General features: G+C 35.1%; 1 protein-coding gene across 18 annotated transcripts in view; it reads left to right on the top strand.

Annotated features, from left to right (window-relative positions):
• Positions 1 to 22,588, top strand: part of RTTN (rotatin) — a 202,657-nt gene that overhangs the window by 51,282 nt on the left and 128,787 nt on the right. For 13 of the 18 annotated variants that reach the window (XR_430072.4, XR_007066140.1, XM_011525903.3 and 10 more), the window contains 9 exons: positions 3,673 to 3,798; positions 4,316 to 4,435; positions 5,369 to 5,505; positions 8,623 to 8,794; positions 12,019 to 12,118; positions 14,218 to 14,306; positions 14,690 to 14,807; positions 19,126 to 19,222; positions 19,865 to 19,933. Coding sequence is in view for 16 of the 18 variants with exons in the window: in XM_011525903.3 (XP_011524205.1) it covers positions 3,673 to 3,798; positions 4,316 to 4,435; positions 5,369 to 5,505; positions 8,623 to 8,794; positions 12,019 to 12,118; positions 14,218 to 14,306; positions 14,690 to 14,807; positions 19,126 to 19,222; positions 19,865 to 19,933 (1,028 nt within the window). In the remaining 2 variants the exon portion in view is untranslated. The remainder of the gene's footprint in view (positions 1 to 3,672; positions 3,799 to 4,315; positions 4,436 to 5,368; positions 5,506 to 8,622; positions 8,795 to 12,018; positions 12,119 to 14,217; positions 14,307 to 14,689; positions 14,808 to 19,125; positions 19,223 to 19,864; positions 19,934 to 22,588) is intronic. The other 5 variants (XM_047437468.1, XM_017025693.2, NM_173630.4 and 2 more) reach the window with 2 other exon arrangements.

Raw genomic sequence — 22,588 nt, 5'->3', positions numbered from 1 at the left:
TAATTATTGGAAATAAAAATTTTTGCAGATAGGAAAATATTTGGTGTAAATTGAGTTATTGATGTATATGATCATTTTGGTATATGATGAATTTCAAGTAGGAATAATCTGGATGTTAATTTTTTAGAGGAGTTCTAAAAAATTAACATCCAGATAATTTTTCCTGTCATAGAATGATAGGAAAAAAGGAATGTCAGAAATAAATATGTATGTGTCAGTTTCGAATTTGTTTTTAAAAAAAATGCACTGAATTTTAGTAATTTTGAAAATTCTAAATTTTAATATACTATAGTTTTTATAACCAAGTGTCATACATTTTGTTGCAAAATTTAAACTGAAAGAATATTTTTTGTTAAAACTCGCCTTATTATCCTAGTTGTAGAAGGAGATAAAATAAAAGAATGTGAACTTTCATTTAATGTTTTATTTTCTTGTTAACTATTTGGAAATTTATATTAGTTGACACTGTTCTTGCAAAATATTGTGATTTTTCTTTTGTCACAAAAGATAATCATCTGTATAGTGCAATGTGGTTTTAAAAAATTCATGTGTATTTACTATCAGGGAGTTATAATAATCCAAGTCAAAAGCTCCAAATGATGAGATTTCTTGTAGTTAGCCCCTGTGTCATAAAGATATAGTATCTTGGTTTGGATATAAGGATTTGTAAAGGCATTTCACTTTAATTGGCTATGTCTGTCAGATGATATTATTCCAGTGTCTTCTGGTAAATCTCCAAGGCATTGCTGCAGCTTTACCTACCTAAATGTAGGAGCGTGCTAGTAATGTGGAGGTTACTTTTTCTGAAGAGGCAAGTTAGCTTTTTATTGTAAGACTTAACTTTGAGGACGGTATGGTAAAGAGGTAAAATAGCTTTTAAATTTAGGGATGATTAAATGGCCACCACTTCCATGTTACCTACATCTAACATTCATTTAGCAATATTTACTGGACACTTTACCATATGCTAGACTGTAGTGATATAAAGTACAGAAAAGAGCCTTATCAGAGAGCTTATATTCTGATAGGGGACAGAGAGAGATGTATGTAATAATTAAGAAAAATTCCTTAAATACATAAAAAGTATGTATGTGTATGTGTGTGTGTATATATGTATATATAGTTTTCTTTATAACACTATATGTATAGAATATGTATATATATATATAGTTTACAACACTGCATATACATTCAATGTATATAGTGTTTTAAATAAAATAGTGTTGTAAAGACAATGAAAGGATAAAGGACTAGAGAATGACTAGTAACGTGGACTAAATTTATGTAGGCTGGCTAGGGAGGGAGGGAGAATTTCTAGCCCGAGGAAACAACAGGTGAAAAGCCTCTGCTTTTCAGGTGAGAATGTACTTTGCGTGTTTCACGAACAAAAAGAAGGGCAGTATAATGAGATAATAGAAAAATGGTACCAGATTGGGTCTGAAAAGTAGGCAGGGTGCCAAACATTATAAAGCTATGAATTGTATTCTAAGTACAGTGAGATGCTATGAATGATTTTAACGTGATCTGATGATCTTTCTGAAAAGATCACTCTCCCATTGTGGGGAATGGATTGTAGGGGGTCAGGATGGAAGCAAGAAGACCAGTTTCATTGTAGTAGCCCTGATGAGATGTGGTGGTGTAGTGGAGATGAAGAGAAGGAAATGAATTTAGGAGGTATTACGGACGTGGAGCTAATTGGTCTTGCTGATAATGAGAGTAGGAGATAGAGAGTGATCAAGGATGAATTTTAAGGTTTTGGATCTAGCAGTTGGATTGATGTCCCAAATATGGGATTGTGGATTGGGTAGAATTCTGTTTTGAACCTAAGTTTGACATGCCTTTTTATATCAAGTGCATATGTTAAGTAGACTGTTAAATATAATAATGCTAATGCTAATAATTTCATTGATAATGATAGCAGCTAACATTTATTGAGCATTTACTCTTATGTATCAAGTACTTTTATAAGTATATTATCTCATTGAATCCTCCTAACAGCTCTGTGAGCTAGGTACTACCTCTTTCTGAAAACGGAGATACTTTGAATTTGTCCAAGGTCATTCAACTAAAAGTGGTGAAACTGGGCTTTGAACCCTATAGGCTCACTCCAAAGCCCATATTCTTAAGCATTGCACCACACTACCTTTGGAGTGTGGAGCCCAGATTAGGTATAAAATTTTCAGTCATCAGCTTAGAGATGATATTAAAGCCACAAGCCTTGATAGGATCAACTACTGAGAGACTAGGGAAGAGAAGGCTGTCTAGGATCTAACCAGTTAGAAGTTGGGAACAGAGGGAGCCAGAAGTGGAGACAGAGGTTAGAAGGAAGAGTCACATGAGAACAGAGATGAACACGTTGGATTTGGCATCGTTGAGGTTGTTGGTGTCCTCTATGAGAAGCTCCTGTGGAATGGTAGGAACCTAAGTCCTGCTGATGTGCATTGAAGAGGGTTTGGCAAATGAGGAAGTACTGACTGAGGACAGCGAACTCTTGTGAGGACTCGTGGTGGGAAGGAGAGCTGAAAAATGAATTGTTATCAAGAGGAGAAAGCCAGGGCCATAGACACATTAGAATATGTCATATGGTGATTAGAATAATCATGTGAAGAAAAATAAAGGTGCTGGAGAAAAATAAGACAATTTTAGGAAGTAAATCTTGGTTTCAGAAGGGGATAGTCACAGTTTAGATGGTAGATAAGTATCTTAAGGAAGTAGGTGACAGCTATTGTTTAGGGCTGAGGCTTTAGATCTTTGAAAACCTTGTAATATGAACGAAGTTGCTGTCTGTGGCATGAAGTTAACAGTTGAAAGAAAAATAATGTATGCAAATACATATGTGAGTGTATGTGTGTAACTTTTTGACCTTTGAATTGTTGATAATAGGAAGTAGAAATTTGCAGAATGAAAAAAAGTAGTATTCATGTAACTCATTATTTATTGTATTTTTACCTTCTATATTGTATTTAAATTCCATTAATATTTCAAGTAGCTTTTTTTCCCCTCTCACCTTAAATAGCTGCTAACAAAATACTATTCTCTATCACATATTGAGAAAAAAATTCCTGATAGTTACTCTAAGTGTTGGTTCAAAGTAATTGTATTTTAGGTACATAGCTGTATTGATGATAACTTTATATAATCATATATATATCACATATATAGGACATAAATATGTAGCATAAAAAATTATATATAATAGGTATATTATATATAAAATATGTATTCTTTATATTCTATATATATAGAATATAAATATATATAGTATATAAAGTTATGTCTCCCATAACTTGAAGTCCTTGAAGTCTTTTCATGTTGAATTTTTCTTTCCCAACCTTTGTAAGTAAAATGCAAACACCTTAGGATAAGTTTCTTACTGTGTTTATGTCCTTTGTGTCTGTCATGATGAATTAACTTTAAGAGATTATGGTTGTCTCAGCCGTTTGTTTACTTAATTTATCATGATTATGCTTGTGGCAGAAAGTAATATAATATGTATCTCCTACAAACTAAGAAACTGTTAGACAGGAGAATCTTTTTCATTCTGTCTTGTTAAAAAAAGTTTCAATGAAGTAAAAACTAAAATAGAAATGGGATTGTAAACAGAAGAAAGATGGATCTTTTGGAAAAATCAGTGTTGCTAATTTAAAAATACTTTTTAATATTATTTTACAGGAATGTTTAGGTGTCCATAATGTCACTAAACCCGTGTCTTCACTTTGCAATGGAATTCATTTTCTACTTCATCCAAAAGTTCTGTATGAAATCTCTGTATTTGGCATTCAAGAGCCCGAAAGTGAGGTATGACATTAAACATGAGTGAAAATATTACAGTAACTTAGATACTCAGCTAAATCAAGGTGATATTCTAATATAGTTTAGATAGCATGGTGAGAAACTAAAAAGAAACCTGTCTTTGGTGCATTGGTTCAGTTGAAGTGTTATTTAAATAAAAATAAATGTTACATAAAATGTGGGAATAAAAATACAGGACACACTTGATTTCAAAAAATTCAGATCAGTTTACTTACATTTTTCATCTAAGATGTAGAGAACTATACAGTACAGGTAGTAAGCAGATTATTTCAGTTAGGGAAATTTTTACTCAAGGGACAAATGTACATTAAAGGTAAAAAATTAGAAATATTAAGGAAGAAAAACAGAACAGAATGTAAGATGATGCTGTGGAAGTACGAACATTTGAAAGAAAGAGATGTTAATTATAGCATCTTTCCACATGCTATAAAATGTTCCAGGTGTGTCAGGTGACCTAGCGGGACATCTCATTTGACTGGTTTATCGGGTCTGTGTTGTTGAGCAGGTGAACACTGCTGCCAAGGCCATTCTGTTATACCTGCTTCAGGGACGATTGATGATGACAGCATTGACCTGGAACAAGTTTATTGAATCTCTCTGTCCTGTCATCCCAATACTACAGGTATTCTGTGAAATTCACTTTTTATGATACCATTTATCTTTGGCTGGGTGTGATTGATTTAAATGCATGCAAACAGCTAAACTGTCAAGTTGTGAGAGAAATGAAGAGAAGCTGTGAAGGCGCTGGGGATAAGTGAACAGGAAGTGGGTGGCTGTCTTGTTTCTGGCAGAAAGTTAAACCAGGATAGCTAATTTGTCTGTATATATTTTATATATCTGGGTGGGAGGTTAAAAAGTGAGGTGCATTCACAGCATTGACTGTGAAAAATAGAACTCAACCTTATATAAAGGCTTTTAGGCAGAGCTAACAGTGCTTTTTAAGGAGACCTTACATAACTAACTTGCCTCATGAGTTCTATCCATGCATATGTATGATTAGAGTGATACCGTAATTAACATGCTCCTAGAAACAGCTTTTTTTTTTTTTTTTAAAAAAGCAATCCTTCTGGACATTAAAGGAGTCAGTTTCCTGTCTCTTTTGGATGAAAAGGTGGAGTTCAGAAATGCCATCATAAGCACAGTCCTCTTTTAGAAGAGAGAGCCTGGGCCTTGTGCCTTGAGACTCACAGATTCCATGCGTGTAGCATTTAGAGCACTCCATCTTCTTAGGGTGGGGATGGGCTGAGGATCTGTGAGGTGCTTCACCGAGGGGAGGTGCCACTATTAGAATCTTAGAAAATAGAAAAATCAGCAAGTGTCAAGAAGGTTGGCATGTTTTCCTGAAGTTCTCCTGTATGTATGTGTATTTTCTTTTAAATACAGTTTTATTTAGGCTCCTTGGCTCATAGAAGTTATTTTAAAAAATAATGATTTTATTCAACTGAATCCAAAGACATTTATGAGTTGCTGATAGGACAATACAATTCTTATTTTCAAGTTGAAAAGTTATGTATACAATTAGACAATAATTTCTCTTTAAAAACAAATCTATTAGGGCTATGCCGACACAGAAGATCCTCTGGGTAACTGCATTCTCCTTCTAAGCAAAGCAAGTTCTGACACAGAAGAGATGCTTCCGTGTACTACCCGATTAAAGTCCATGCTGCGACTTTTGCTAGTGAAAAAGCCATCGTGAGTACAACGTAATCTTGTGAACGTCAAAGATTGATGGAAACATGCTAAGAAAGTATAGTAACTATATATAATTTGAAACAAAACTAAAGAATTTTTAAGGAGGGTGTTATTCCATTACTAGAGGAAACCAATGCGTGAAACTAAGCAGATACAAGGTCTTGTATGTACTTGCTGACGTTTCATCCACTTTACAGCCAAGTTATTCCTTGCCAGATCAGCCTGTGTTACAGGACTGCTACTAAGTGCCGCTCAGTAGTGCCCTAGGCAAGTTGGAGAGCCATGGAGATAAATAGATGGTAAAAATTATAGTGCATTCCCATCTTCTCTTTAGAAATTGTTAGCCTTCCAGAGTGATCCTTTTGTAAACATCTGTTCTGAATATTCAGTTTTTCATAAGTATAGTAGGCCAGTTGTCTCAAATACCAGAGTTATGCAGGTATTTTAATCCCATATAGCTGTGTTCTTACTTGGGGAACTGAAAACATATCCTTTCTTTGACTGCCATTAATATAAGCATTGTTTTAATTAATGAAAAGAAGGAGAATGATACTGTTTTTCTTCCTTCTCTGTCATTGCAACATGAATCTTTTCTATTATTATTTTTAGGTAACAGTGGTTAGATTTTCCCTTACTGAAAAAAGAAAAAAATGCTGAGTCGAGATGGATAAGCAGGGATAAAGAGGAATAGTTGGTTGAAAAGGCTAGGAAGAATGGACAGACATTCTTTTCACAATGGATAATTTGTGTTTCCCAAACCTTACATCAGGAAAATACAGCAGCTTATTTATAGACAGATCATTGGACTGAAAGATAAGGAAATAGGTGGAAGTTAACTAAACTATTAAGAGAATGGAAGGAGGAAAATTATAGTCTTTAAAATATCTCTGTATTGTAGAGAGTAATGTTATGGGTGATCCAGGAAGAAGTAGGGCAGAGGGAGTTAACGTGCTTGTGTTCTCAGGGGTTGTCTTCTACACATGCAGAAAAGCTGTTCCCTGTTAATTAACATGCTAGTGTGGTACTCCTTACTTGAACAAACCCCCAGTTTGGAGAATTAACACAATAGGGGGCATTTCTTGTTTGTTTTTCGGGCCCAAGGTCCTCAGTTTAATAAAGACATTCTAAGGCAGGACACCCCCAGGAGCATAGTGCAAGGAAAGGCCAGATCTTTCTTTGGGTAAGATAAGTCTCTATTATATAGAATTTGAAACAATTCAAATGACATATTTGTTTTCCTTATTGTATTAATTCTACCCCATCCCATCAACCCATCCATAAACTCCATGTAGACAGGAACCCTGTCCGTTGGCTAATCTTTATATTCTCAGAACTTCATAGCGTACCTTATACATAAATACACAGTCATGCGTTGCTTAATGACATGGATGCATCCTGAGAAATGCTTTGTTAGGTGATTTTGTCCTTGTGTGAACATCATAGAATGTACCTTACACAAACCTAAGCAATAATAACTTAACTACATACATAACCTAGGCTATATCCTATAGCCTATTGCTTCTAGGCTACAAACCTGTACAGCATGTTACTGTACTGAATACCATATGCAGTTGTAACACAGTGGCATTTGTGTATCTAAACATAGAAAAGGTTTAGAAAAATATAGTAATATAATCCTATGACACCACTGTTGCATATGTGATCTACTGTTGACTGTAACATTGTTATGCAGTACATGACTGTACTCAAAAGTTTTAAAGAATGACATACATGTATAGGAATAACTGGATTCTGGCATCCTATGCTAAACCTAAAAAGATGCTAAATGTATATACCAGAGAACAAGATGCATAAATACATGCTTTACATATCTCATCTCTAGCCACCTTTGCTAGGGGTTATACCTGTCTCTCAACTGACAACCCCAGATGTGAATACAGATATCATTGGCTTAGAATGTAAGGAACAAAGGAAAACTATTAGGTAGGTGTTTAGCCTTTCTAAGCTCTCTTGAGGTAACTCAGGAAATGGAGAGGGAGAAAGTTTGCCTGACTTATTAGTCCTCTGGAGATGATATCAGTTAACAATATTGCAGTAAATATCTACTTTGTGTTTGATTCAGGAAGTATTTATTGGGTGTCTTACTATGTATCTATGAGCTGTGGGAACGTAGCAGCACACAACACAGACATGGGCCCTGCCCTTTCAGCATTTAGTGTGTAACCGGGAATATAGCTCTTATTATCAATTATTCTTTATTATTAATTGTCATAAAGTGAGATAAAAGTTATGATACAGGGGCTCAAGGTGGCAGGCCTGCATACAGAAGGCAACCTGCTCTAGTCTGTAGTAGGAGGGCCACCCTAATGATGCATGTTTTAATTGTTGTCTTATAGGTAGTTCTTAAAACCTGGCAACTTGTATTATTGCTTAAAATTTGTCCAGTTTCCAGGTAGTTCAAGAACCTATCAGAGGAGTGACAGATACATGGTTGTCTCAATATCTGCCGCCTCAGTGACCTTTGTCCACTCAGTGGTTTTTCTGTTTCTCTATTTCATTGTTTAGTGGCATACAGTATTTACTCTTTTCTTGAAAGGTCTCCCACCTCCCCACTCAGCTGACCTTATTCCTAATCCCTTCCAGATAAGGAAAAAGTATTTGTATTTTCATATTTGACAGGAATCTGTTTGGCCCCTAATATGAGAAGATTTTGATACATTGTAGTGTTATCACACTTCCATTATGAGCGTCATTACTCTCCTGTGGGTTCAACTTAACATTTGGACTGTGGTCAGCGGTCTGTGATACTTTTTATGGTGGAGAATAGTTCACTAGATTTGAAGACAGGAGTTATTGATTTAATTCGCAGATGTACTTATTGAAGTTTACTGATATTTAATCTCAGTGAGTCTGTCTCATTTGTAGTTATTATTTTTTGTTTCTGATGTTTATTTTATAACTATTACATTGAATAAATCATTATAATTATATATCGAAGAATTTTTAGTAGAAAAAGTAAATTATTACTAGTAATGGCAGTATAATTGTGACTACTTATTGTACTTTGTTGATATATAATTACTTGTAATTACAAGCCCTTTTAAAATAGACATTTGCATATCACGAAAGTTCGACTTAAGTACTTTGTGTTCTCAGGGTCCGTTCGCTAGCATTAAAGCTTTTAGCATTCCATCTTACCAGTGAAGAAGGGGCTGATACAAAGCGTCCTCTAATAGACGCCAGAGTTCTCTCCAGAGTTACTGATTTATTCATTGGGAAGAAACCTATTGAACTCAGACTGGATGACAGAAGAGAGCTGGTTATTAAGGTGACTATAAATTTTGAGTTTATTACTGTGTGGTAATTTGATACATTTTTATATCATGTATTTTATGTGACATTCTTCAGTTTGTGTATGTCCTGGGGAGGGAGAGAAGTATGGGGATTCAGGGCTGGTTTGAAATTGTGTTCTGGCTTTATCTGGCTTCTAGATACGTTGATTTATTGCAGTGGTCCCAACCTTTTTGGCACTAGGGACCAGTTTCACAGGACAATTTTTCCATGGATCAGGGCAGGAGTATTGTTTTGGGATGATTCAAGTGCATTATATTTATTGTATACTTTATTTCTATTGTTATTACATTGTAATATATAATGAAATAATTGTACAACTCACCATAATGTAGAATCAGTGGGAGCTCTGAACTTGTTTTTCTGCAACTAGACAGTCCCATGTGGGGGTAATGGGAGACAGTGACAGATCATCAGACATTAGTTAAATTCTCTTAAGGAGCAGCCAGCCAAGATCCCTCACACACCTAGCTCACAATACGGTTTGCACTCCTATGAGAACTGAATGCCGCCACTGATCTGACAGGAGGTGGAGCTCAGATGGTAATGGCAGCAATGGGCAGCGGCTGTAAATACATTTTCCTGTCTTTAGCTAGGACTGTACCTATAGCATACTGGACTGATGGAGAATTCTATAAAGAAAGCTGTCCACTAGTCCACTGTTTTCATGGATTCATTCCTGTGTTTTGTACTTTCTCATTTCACTCAAGTTTGCAATCTGTCTGTTTTATTTTAGACTAACTTGCCAAGGCCTGTAGTAGTATGGTAGAGCCACATGTAATACAGTCGGTTTTTTTGTTTGTTTGTTTGCTTTTTAATGGGGAAACACATTATGTTCTTCTAAACTGAATGTTCAGGGCTTTATGACAGTGCTGGCAGGGGGATTGGAGAGTCTTCACTGGCCACATACCAGGTCTGGTTGGGACTTCCCTGAGTACTAAGCCATTGGTAGTCACTCCTGTGCCCTGATGTATGGAGGAAGGCGGGGAGAGGGCATTCTAATACGTCTTCTGTGAGTCCATGTTAGGACTGGAAGATAGCAGTGAGTGGGAGAAAGGAGCTTCATCTTTGTTATTTTCTTGTCCCTTTTTCCTGATGCTGGTTTTGCCACCTCAGATTCTGTTCTAGCATGAAGTGACAGTAAGGGACTTGTCTGGGGGGTAGCTTTGAAGGGGTGCTGGACAGCAAGTCCCAGAGTGCTGTTTGCTCTGGGGTCTTCTAAAAGAAAGAATGGAGAGGCCCACGGGAATACCAGCTGGTGGCTTCTGGGAGCAACAGGGAAATCTTGAGTCATAGGTCTGGGTCGCTTTTCTCAGGTTAGCCTGGTACTACCTGTAAAGATGTTAGGGAACATGGTTGTTTTCTGTTACCTTTGTAAGGTTGCTAATGGATTAATGGGTTATGAATAACTTCCTAGCAAAAATGTATATTAAGAAGAGAGGGGCCGGGCACAGTGGCTCTTGCCTGTAATCCCAGCACTATGGGAGGCTGAGATGGGTGGACCACTTGAGCCCAGCCTAGGCAATATGGTGAAACCCTGTCTCTACTAAAAATACAAAAAATTAGCTGGGGTTGGTGGTGCATGCCTGTAGTCCCAGCAACTTGGGAGGCTGAGGTAGGAGAATCACCTGAGCCCAGGAAGTCGAGTCTGCAGTGAGCTGAGATTGCACCACTTTACTCCAGCCTGGGTGACCAGAGTGAGACCCTGTCTCAAAAAACAAAAAAAAAAAAGGAAAACTTATTTGACATGATGACTCTTTATTTTAGATCTTAAGTTCCTTCCTGACCTACTGCATCATTGTTGCAAATTTTATTTATTTATGTATTTATTTTAAACTTTTATTTCAGTTTCAGGGGTACCTGTGCGGGTTTGTTATATAGGTAAACTCGTGTCATGGGGGTTTGTTGTACAGATTATTTCGTCACCCTGGTACTAAGCCTAGTACCCGATAGTTATTTTTCAGATCCTCTCCCGCCTCCTACCCCCCACCCTCAGGCAGGCCCCAGTGTCCGTTGTTCCCCTCTTTGTGTCCTTGTGTTTTCATCATTTAGCTCCTGCTTATAAGTGAGAACATGCAGTATTTGGTTTTCTGTTCCTGTGTTATTTTGCTAAGGATAATGGCCTCCGGCTTCATCCATGTTCCCTCAAAAGACATGATCTCGTCCTTTTTTAGGGCTGCATGGTACTCTATGGTGTATATGTACCACATTTTCTTTATCCAATCTGCCATTGATAGGCATGTAGGTTGATTCCATGTGTTTGCTGTTGTGAATAGTGCTGCAGTGAACATACACATGCATGTGTCTTTATGGTAGAATGATTTGTATTTGAGTATCCAACATCTATAAGGAACTTAAACAGATTTACAAAAAAAAACCAAACAGCTCCATTAAAAAGTGGACAAAGGACAGAACAGACATTTTTCAAAAGAAGACATACATGTGGCCAAAAGGCATATGGAAAAGAGCTCAATATCACTGATCATTGGAGAAATGCAAATCAAAACTGCTACGAGGGACCATCTCACACCAGTCAGAATGGCTATTTATTTATTTTTTTTGTGAGACAGAGTTTCACTCTTGTTGCCCAGGTTGGAGTGCAGTGGTGCGATCTTGGATCACTGCCGCCTCCGCCTCCTGGGTTCAAGCGATTCTCCTGTCTCAGCCTCCCGAGTAGCTGGGATTACAGGTGTGTACTACCACACCCAGCTAATTTTTGTATTTTTAGTAGAGATGGAGTTTCACAATGTTGGCCTTTTGTGTTTCTAGTAGAGATGGGGTTTCACCATGTTGGCCAGGCTTGTCTTGAACTCCTGACCTCAGATGATCTGCCCACCTCAGCTTCCCAGAGTGCTGGGATTATAGGCGTGAGCCATCGCACCCGGCCAGAATGGCTATTATTAAAAGTCAAAAAATAGCAGATACTGGTGAGGTTGTGGAGAAAAGGGAATACTTACACACTGTTGATGACTGTGTAAATTAGTTCAACCATTGTGAAAAGCAGTGTGGCAATTCCTTGAAGACCTAAATACAGAACTGCTACTTAACCCAGCATTGTGTGAATTTACCTGTAATTATGTTGGTTATTTAAATAAGTTGACTTTTTGAGCTTTTGTTCATAGGGCACAAACTATAAAATCTTATTGGAGAATTGGAAGCAGATAAATGTAATTTTGGTTTTTTTTTTTTTTTGGTTTGTAGTTGGAGACTGTTGAAAAGGTATATGAAATCTTCACCTCAGATGATGTTGATCTCGTTTTGAGAAAGTCAGCTGCTGAACAGTTAGCTGTGATTATGCAAGGTAATGTCTTTTAAGGGAAATGATTGCTGTACTGCTGATAATAGAATTTTAGATTGCCATATGGTACTGGCAGGAGTTGGCAACTATGGTTTATGCGCCAGATCCAGCCTGTGGCCTTTTTTTTGACAGCCCTCAAGAATGGTTTTTGCATCTTTAGAGTTGTTAACAAAATCCAACCAAAACCAAAGAATATGCGAGAGACCATATGTGTGTGTCTAGCAAAGCCTAACAACATGCTTACTAACCTGGTTCTTTACAGAAGAAGTTTGCTAATGCCTTATTATTATTTGACCTGTAAAATGCCATTTGATAGAATTATCTTCTTTCTAAAATATTAGTGTACTTCCAATAGTGAAGTGCATGTTCCTTCCTCTGTTTACTGAGTGCATGCATCATATTTTCAATCTGTACCATCTTGCTTAGGGAAATTAATCAAATAATACTTTTGTGGTAGGTAAAAGAAAAATAGTACACTGTAGCTATGCCTTTTCTTTAAACGTTTATTTTTATTTTTTTAAATTATACTTTAAGTTCTAGGGTACATGTGCACAATGTGCAGGTTTGATACATAGGTATACATGTGCCATGTTGGTTTGCTGCACCCATCAACTCATTTATATTAGGTATTTCTCCTAATGCTATCCCTCCCCCAACCCCCAACTCTGTGACAGGCCCGGGAGTGTGATGTTCCCCGCCCTGTGTCCAAGTGATCTCATTGTTCAGTTCCCACCTGTGAGTGAGAACATGCGGTGTTTGGTTTTCTGTCTTTGTGATAGTTTGCTGAGAATGATGGTTTCCAGCTTCATCCATGTCCCTGCAAAGGATGTGAACTCATCCTTTTTTATGGCTGCATAGTATTCCATGGTGTATAAATGTTTATTTTTAAAAACAACTAGTGTAATACACTGTTAGCTTTGTTTGTAGTGTTGTTATTCCATAGGCTTTTGTTCTTTGGGTTAGTTTTGAATTTTTCCCCATACGTGATGTATGTACTTTAATATTTATGAGAAATGATAACTTTGAGTTTATGTAAAAAGATTTTTATGGTTAGCACTTCTTGTCTTGACATTAGTGGAAACTGGAATGAGAGAGTTATTTGAAAAAACATATTCCACATATTTTTAGTTTTAACAACAATCACACAGACTACAGAAAAGAAGACTAGAAAATGTGGAAAGCCCTGGTTAAAAAAAAGATCAAGAAAAACTCGTTAAAGAGTATTCCTTCAATATTGTTAACATTTCAAAAGTATGCCTTATAATTTTGGTATGCACTATATTGGGGGGCAATGGAAATTTTTTTTTTTAAGTAGCAGCTAAAGATTGTTACAATGATAGCTTCCACTTCAATATCAGTATGTGAGTGTATGTGTTTTTCCTAATGAGAATATAGGAGAAAATTTGTCTGCAAGTTGTTAAATACTTGTAACGAATATATAATCAATTACAGTTTTGGGTTCCGGTAACATTTGTGTGTGCGTGTGCACATGTCTATACATATAAGATTTTTTTATGTATATACAAAAACTTCTTTATTACAAACATAATATGTGAATATATGCTTATTAAAAAGAAGCTCAAGTTCTCCAGAAATATATAGTGTATTATAATCTTGTTCCTTTTATATTTGCTATTAATAGTTTGAGGTTAGAGATTTTTTTATAGATAGAAAAATGTTCATGTTGTAAGTCATATTTTACACATGAGCTTGTGGAGAATTATAAACATTTGAAGGTGATAAATTTGGAAGAGTCAATGAAATAATATAAAGAAGATAATTTGCATGTATAAATATAAGCATTCATTTGTACACTTAAATTCTCGTAGTTTTCAGAGTCTGAACTAGTTCCATAATTCTTTTTTTATAGTTTTGTATTTTATGTGACAGAAGTAAGATATGCTTTTTACTTAAACATTTTCAAATTGGACAGGTGTACGTAAAGTAAAAAGTTAAAAGTTTCATACTCTTATGTCAACCCCAGGTCTAAGTATTTTTAATAGTTTGAAGGTTGTGTGGATATCAGTTCTGAGTATTTCAAAATACGTGTTTTAAACTACAAAAAATGTGCTTTAACTTTTAGTAACTTTTTTTATCTACAGATATTAAAATGCATGCTGTGGTGAAAAAGTTATGCTTAATTGACAAAATAATTGAGTATTTAAATGAATGTGTGAGTCAAGATGGCAAGGTAAGGCTAATGTGCATCTAGACATTGTTTTACAGGCTGTTTTGATTAATCAGATCTGAAATTGAACTGAGCAGAATTTGGATGAGTACTTGGATTTTAAATTCTAAGTAACACCTCCTATCTCATTCATTTTTTTTTTTTAAATTCGAAAAGTGGAGTCTCTATAAAGGAAAACTAATCCTAAAATTTCCATAAGATAGGTGATAGAAGTATATACGAAACTTACTTTCAGTGGAAAGTAATTCCTAGTATTTATTTACATTTTAGTTTCAGATAATTTTGATGAAAACGCATAAAATTTAGAGTAAGATAATATTATGGTCTGTTTGATCTCACCTGATAATTGGTGAAAATGAAAAGCTGTGTTTTTCCTCCTGGCCCAGGTTGTAGAATGTTTGGTACAACCATGCCTCACACTCTTGAGGAAGGTTTTATGTGGTGATCCAGTCATGCGTGTTTCGCTCTCGCAACAGTCTTCTCTTTTGACCGTGTTATTCAGAGGTAAATAAAAGAAAATCTGCTAATAATTAGATTGTTCTTAAATTTTAAGTGTTTCTTCTTTAATTGTAAGTCACATTTACTTTTTATTTTACTATTAGAACAACAGCATTTATTAGTGAATACACTACTAATGTAAATGGAAAATGTTTAATATTTTTGTGGAAATTGCTTTCTAATCCTGTTGCTGAGTGGAGGCTAGAGCTGAGAAAAGCTGAAACCTCTGATTGTTCTTTGTGCCTTGATGTAGATGTCATCTGGTGCTCAGACAGTAAACTATTATCTATAAAGAGAGAAAGTTGCAGCTGCTGTTATTACTATCTTCTTTCCAATATCTCTTTCGTCTTTCTTGTTTTGCTTATACCTTTGGATCTTGGTACATTTTGTCTGATTATTTCATTTGACAGGTGTTAAGAGTATAGGCTCAACCTGTGTGAGTAGAAACTAGACCATCCTAAATGACTCTGAGCCTAAATTTATTACATTCTATAAAATGTGGTTTTTAAAAACCCATTTTAATTTGATTCTAATTTAGTAAGGTGTTAGATGAACACGTTTCATGTAGTTTTGTCCTTCCTGTCTTCTCTGTTTTTTTTTTTTTCTCAATGGAGAGCTTGGTAACATTTTGTACTATTTTTTTTCTTAGAGACTTAGGCCACTGCTTTTTGATATTTTGCAAGAGTCATGTAGAATCATCTGAATGTGCTGAAGAGTCACGTACAAGCATCTGAATGTGCTTCATCTTGTCTATTATCAGGCATATAGGAGATAAGTGAGATTTATGTTCAAAATATGTTATTATAATGTAGTCATTTTATTTTAGCATCTTTTCCTCCTGTTGGCTTCTGCTTGCCAAGTGAGTAAGATGCAGTTTATTTAAGTAGCAGCCCTAAAACCAGGTAAAGCTCTAAACAGATTCAGTGTGTTTAGGCTCATAACATTTTGAGTGGACTATAACGTTTTTATAAGATTGTATAGACTGATCATCTGAAAGAGCAGCAGTTACGGATTTTTAGTTTTCTTTAATCCTGTTAATAATTGTCTTCTTATTAACCTCATTCACTTGAATTTAGTTCCTGGTTTACCTTTTCATTTATAATTTTCATTTAAATTATTCAAGCATGGAACTTATTATGAACACCTACTGGATTCAAAAGCACATTTCAAGGCAATATAATCTATACCCTTTTCAGTATTTCAGTTTTTCTATTTCATTGCTGTTTGTGGAAATTACTTTCAATGAGTTTGAGAATGAATATAGTATCCTCCATTAATGGATTTAGTTTCAGGAAAAATTTTACTTACTTACTTATTTATTTATTGAGAAAGAATTTCACTCTTATCACCCAGGCTGGAGTGCAGTGGCACAATCTCGGCTCAGTGCAACCTCTGCCTCCTGGGTTCAAGCATTTCTCCTGCCTCAGCCTCCTGAGTAGCTGGGATTACAGGTGCCTGCCACCATGCCTGGGTAATTTTTGTATTTTTAGTAGAGGCTAGGTTTCTCCATGTTGGCCAGGCTGGTCTCGAACTCCTGACCTCATGTGATCCACCTGCCTTGGCCTCCCAAAGTGCTGGGATTACAGTCGTGAGCCACTGTGCCTGGCCGAAAAATTAATTTTTAACCAGCTGCTTAACCAAGAAAACCCATTTCTCAGCAAACGTTTATTAAGCACATGCTTTGTGCTAGGTGCAATGCTAGGCCCTTGGGTTATATTGGTGAGCATGGTAAATGACCCTCATGGAGCTTACAGTAGAGTTGGAGACATTGACAAGTAAATATACAGTACACCACAGTAATACTTGTAATTGGGGATTCCTGGTGCCAGAGGACATGCTGGTCAGATTGGTTGGTGAAAAGTATCAGAGATTGTTTCTAGGGAATGTGGCATCTAAGATGGAATTTCAGAAATGAGTAGGAGTTCAAATAGGCAAGATTGACTTCTAGATGGAGCCGTGGTTGTGTGTATGAGAAATTGATGTGTTTGAGATGGAGCTGGCTGGATTTGGGGAGTGTGGAGTGAAGGGGAAATGATGGGATGAGGCAGGGAGGGCAGTTCGTGCAGGGCCTGGGAGATTTTATTAAACAGCAGTGAAGAGCTGTTTAAGGTTGTTAAACAGGGGAGTATGTGTTTTAGGAAGATTATTTCTGTAGCATGGATAGTGGATCAAATGAGTACAATAAATAACTTCTCAGATAACACTGCTTTGAATTATAAACTTTATGTTATGACAGAATTCTATAGTGTATTTCAGGGTTAGAAATTAACTTAGAAATCATTTACTATACCATCTGTGTGAGGTCTAGAGAGATTTAGCAACTTGGCCAAGGCTATAACCAAAAAATGGTTATTGGGTTATTTACTTTGCTACTGAGAGAGAATCGAAACTTCCTTACCTTTGTTTGTTTCTGTTTTAAATAATCACAGACCTATACATCCCCATTGTAAAAATTCAGGCAATATAGAACTATACAAATTCTAAAAGTTTTCATTTTCTTCTCGTTCTCAATTTCCCCAAAGAAGACTGTTCTGGTTATCATTAGGAATATATTTTTCCGAATGATTTTTTCTACATACACATGTAGTTTTCATTCTGTATATTACAGTATTGTGTTGCTTCCTTTTTTCAACTGGAAATGTAACTTGAATATCTTTCTATATTATTTCATGTGAGTATACATTCTTTAAAAAACCCTAAAAACTACTGCACTGGTGTTGCAGAATTTCAGTTTGCTATGTTACTGGGTATTTGTTTTAGATTTTTCACCATGACAGTAATCATGTTGTGTGATCATCTTTGTGCATTCAGTGTTGGAATTCCTAGGTCAAAGAGATTTTATAAGATAATGGTTAAGTTCCTTTCCAAATCACTCTCACCAAAGGTGTTTAAAAATGCTTATTTTCATTACAACTTTGCCAACACTGAATATGTCTCATTAATTTTTTTTAATCTTATAGGTAAAAATATATAATTGTTTTATTTTCTTATTTTAGTTTTAGTGAAGTTATCTTTTCATATATATTCAAATTTCTTCATCTATGGATTACTTATTTTCCTGTTGTATTTACTTTCTTTTTAGTGACTTGTAGGGTTTTTTATTATAAGATAGGCACAATCCTTATGCTTGATTTTATGTGATTAATATTTTCTCTCAACTTTTCTATCCTTTAAATTTATTTATTATTATATTTTTAACCTTAAACTTAAATATTTTATGGAAACATATAGAACTTTTCTGTTATGGCAGTTGGGCAATTTTTTATCATGCTCTTCAAGTAGGACTTTCTCTAGTTCCAGATTGAAAACACTTTTCCTGTGTTTCAAGTGTTGTTTAAAAAAATTAAATTTGAAATCAGGCAAAGGCATTGCTGTAATTCTTATTTATTTGGAAATATTATGGTTCATTCTATTCATCACTGATGTGAAATGTCTTTTATTATAAGTTAATTTTTACATGTTCTCTGTTTCTTTACTTTTTGGTTTATGGCTATTTTTAATCATGCCAATTACATAAGGATGATTTTCTTTTCCTGCAGTTAGGAAAAATCTCTTCTCTCAAAACTTCTTATTGCTGCTTCCCTGAATTTGCTAACTGTGTATTATGTTGTTATTCCTGTGAGATAACATCGTACTTCTTTGTTTAGAATTTCATAGGTTTCAAGGAGATTGTAGCATTGGGATCATTACAGAAGTGGGAACTGAGACTTAATGTTAAAGAATCTCACCAGGGCATTTAGCTAAGTAGTAAGTGGTAGAGCTAGTGTTAAGTCTGTCCATTCAGAGCACTTCCCTTTTCCATCATCTTGTCATAATTAAAAGGAACCAAAACAATGACACAGCCCAAGGATAACATTTTAAAGTCAAATCCAAGTTCTGTGATCACATGTTTGTAGTAAAGGGCAAAAGTTATAAAATAAGATCTCTTGGTGAGGAAACTTTAGCTAGAATTATCTGACTCGGCATAACCTTCTTAGAGGCTGTATCAGTTTGTTTCTCTAATTACCTAAGACTAGACAGTGTCTAGTGAGTGTATCTACAAGTGTGGCTCCTGGACTGGCAGCATCTGCATCCTCTGAGAACTTATTAGAAATTCACATTCACAGGCTCCACCCTAAACCTATCCAATCAGAAACTGTTTTAACCAGCCTTCCAGGTGATTCTTGTACATCCACAAGTTTGAGATGAAAGCCTGTGTTTTAGTGTCACCTTATCTGGGTTTATGTTGCATTTCTTTTCTCTTCAAATCAAGATATTTTAAATTTGAAGTTCATTCTTTCTAGACGTACAAATATTTCATAAAGTTGTGCTTCTTTTTATTCAGTTTCCTTAATATTTCATGAAGATTGTAGTGTCGTGACTGAAGTTGGAGCACTATTTTGTCTTCTATTATTTGATGAAGTATCGAGAATGGATATGTGGTGAGATATAAGAATTTATAAGTTTTTTACTCTTAACTATTTATCTCAGGTATCTGATGTAATCTTATAGCAAGGCATGGAAATTTCTGATTTACGAAGCTTATGCTGTCCATGCTACACATATGTGGTATGAATTTTGATTTGAATAAACAGTATTCAAAAGCCTATTAGCTCAGAAAGTCTATCTCAAATTTTATTTTTAAACATTACTAAATATAAACTTTAAAATTACTGCAGTAATTTTTGTCTTTAATACATTTTTAGTACATACCTTCAACTATGTGTTTTTTTCTTAATATTTCATGATTTTTAAAAAACCTCGGAAGATATTTAGGACGATAGTATATGATTAGCGCTGATCTTGAGCAGGATCCGTGGGAGGAGACGCACAAAGTCCACCTGCTAGTCCCACCACTGCATTGTATGAATCATTTGTTATGTGGAATTTTTTTTTAAAACATAATTTACTCTTCATAAGCAAATCTAGGAAGTAGCAAACATGTTGTTTCTATACTAAATGATAGACTCAGTTGCACTGCTTGATTTCATTTGCAGTCAACGAAGTGAGGTAAGTTGTATTTGTTAGACAAAACTTGGTCTACTCAGTTGTTTCTTTGTTTTTGTTTTTCTTTTATGAAATAGGTCTGTTAATCCTTCCAATAAACCTTCTTTGCCATCGGTCTTCAGTTTGCCTGTTTCCGTTTTTAGAAGGTAAAGGATTTATTTCTCTGATTTTCTTGAAGGACGAAATGTTGTTACAGAAAGGGAAATCAAAATCTATAATTTGTCACAATTTTCATTTAGCATTTAAATCCCATAACTTGGGCTTTCATGGTTCCTTCACAATGGTGCTTTGAAGATTTCAGTAAGTATATCTCCCCACCACCAATTTTTTATTTTGATACCGTTCAAATTTACAGGAAAGTTGAAAGCTATACGGTGCATACTTGTATGTCGTTCAGCCTAGAGTCATCAATTATTTACATATGAGTCTCTTTGCTTTCTCTCTCCTAATATATATTTTTATTTATATTTAATTCTCCCTCACCCACCAATTGGAAATAAGTTTCAGACATAAATTCACTCCTTTCCTATATATTCCAGCATGCACATCCTTAAGTTAAGGACATTATTCTACATAACTGCTACAATATGATCCCATCTAACAAGATTAAAAATAATTCTATAACATGGTGTGGTTTCTCCAGTTATCTCCAAGTATCTTTTGTGTATATTTTTTCAGAATGCAATAACCAGTTAAGGTTCTGCATTGTATTTGGTTTTCATGTCTCTTTAGACTTTTGTAAAAAGTAAATTGTTTTTATTGACATATATCGTACATAAAGCATACAAGTCATAAGGGTACAGCCCTTGAATTTTTCTGAGTAAACGTACTTATTTATCTCACACAGATTGACATAGAATATTACTGACAGACCGGAAACCCTTTTTGTGCTTTCTCATTACCTTCTACCACCCCAAAATGTAATCCTATTTTAATTTCTATTGCTGTACATTATTTTTGCTAGTTTTTGAACTTTATAAATAGAGTGCATTATTATATTGCTTTTTGCTCAACTTGGAGAGATTTGTCCATGTTGCTGCATGAAGCAATCAATAGTTGGTTCATTTTTATTCTATGTAGTATTCTGTCTAAGAATATACAACACTTTTATTTACCATTCTATTTGTGGATGTTTAATTTGTTTTCTGTTTTGGGCTATTATGAAGAAATGACTGCTAAGAACATTCTTGAACACGTGTCATTGTTGGAATATAGGATATTTATGTTTAGCTTTAGTAGATGTTACCAGACAGTATTACGAAGTTGTTGTGCTGATTTACATTCCTACCATCAGTGGAAAAGTACTAGCTGCCCCACATCCTCACTAGCCTTTGGTATTTGCATTACCAGTCTTAATGGTGTTTAGTTTGGCTAAATAATGAAACTCACACGACTGCAGTAGTCATGCTTAGAATGAGATCACATTTGTGGGTGCTGGGAGCTGTCTTGGCTTGGAAGCCTCATGTCCCAAATAGAAAATATGTTCTCTAGTAAGTGTGCTGTAGGCATAGTTTCCAGGTTGCTTATAAGAGCCACAGCACTCAAGATTGCTCAGAGCTGTGACATCCCATCATGCATTTATAGTTTATTCCTAGATGTCTCAGTCCAGATGTGGGGAGTCATTTTCATCATAAGCAAAGCAGCTTAGTAAATTCTTGACATTCCATATCTATCTGATTTTACTGGGTAAAGGGACAGAGAGTTACCTCAATATCATGTTTGTCCGTAAAGAGGAGAAAGGGTTTTATTACTCTTTTACTCACAGTAATGTTGGCATTTAAAAAATTGTTGCCCATCTGATGGATGTATAGTGTATCTCAAAGTGGTCCTGATGTATTACTCTTTGCTTTTTATTATTTTCTTCCTTCTGTGTTTTTCAAACTTAATTTTCTGTTCATTTTCTAACTTACTGGAGGATTGGCCATTGATTATTAGCCGCCCTTTCATTTAAAGCTATCAATGTTTCTAAGTATGGCTTTTGGTATATTCCACGAATTTGATATGCCATATTTTATTATTTAGTTCAAAATATTTTCTAAGTGTTTTGTGATTTTTTTTTATTGATGCAAGGGTTGTTTAGAGTTATTGGGGGTAACTAGTGAAGATTTAGTTTATTAGGTTTTCTAGTTATTTTATTATTAATATTTAGCTAAATATTGACATTAGAAAATATTTTCTATGATTTTAATTCTTTAGAGTTTGTTGAATTTTACTTTATGGCCCAGCATATGGTCAGCTTTTTAAAATGTTCCATGTGTACTTGAAAATAATAATGTATATGTAGTAGTTGTTGGATATACTGTTCTATAAGTCTCAAAATATATCAGGTTTATTGATAGTGTTCAGATCTTCCCTGTGTCTACTTTATTATATGTGTGTGAAGTTCTTTCAGGTAGCAGAGAGGCATGTTAAAATCTCCACTATGACATTGTCATTCTGGCTGACAATGTATTTTGAGGCCATGTAATTTAGTTTGTAAACATGCTGGTGGGTTGTCTCTATCATTATGAAATTATTTCTTTATCTCTAGCAGTGCTTCATCATATAGAATTCACTCGATCTCTTATGACTGTAGCTTCCCCAGCTTTTATTTGGTTAGTGGTTAGCATGATATGTATTTTTCCATCCTTGTAGTTTTAGCTGTTCTGTGTCCTTAAATGTACTTTTTTTTTTTAAGAAGTATATAGTTGAGTTTTTTTGTCCAATCTGACATTATTTACAGTTTTAATGGAATATTTTAATGCATTTTACATTTACTATAATTACTAATATTTTTGGATACAGATTATTAGCTTGCTATT

The sequence above is a fragment of the Homo sapiens genome, chromosome 18 (assembly GCF_000001405.40).
Source record: "Homo sapiens chromosome 18, GRCh38.p14 Primary Assembly".
Lineage (NCBI taxonomy): Eukaryota > Metazoa > Chordata > Mammalia > Primates > Hominidae > Homo > Homo sapiens.
Note: the sequence above shows the minus strand (reverse complement) of the source record. Positions and strands in the feature narration are given on the sequence as shown.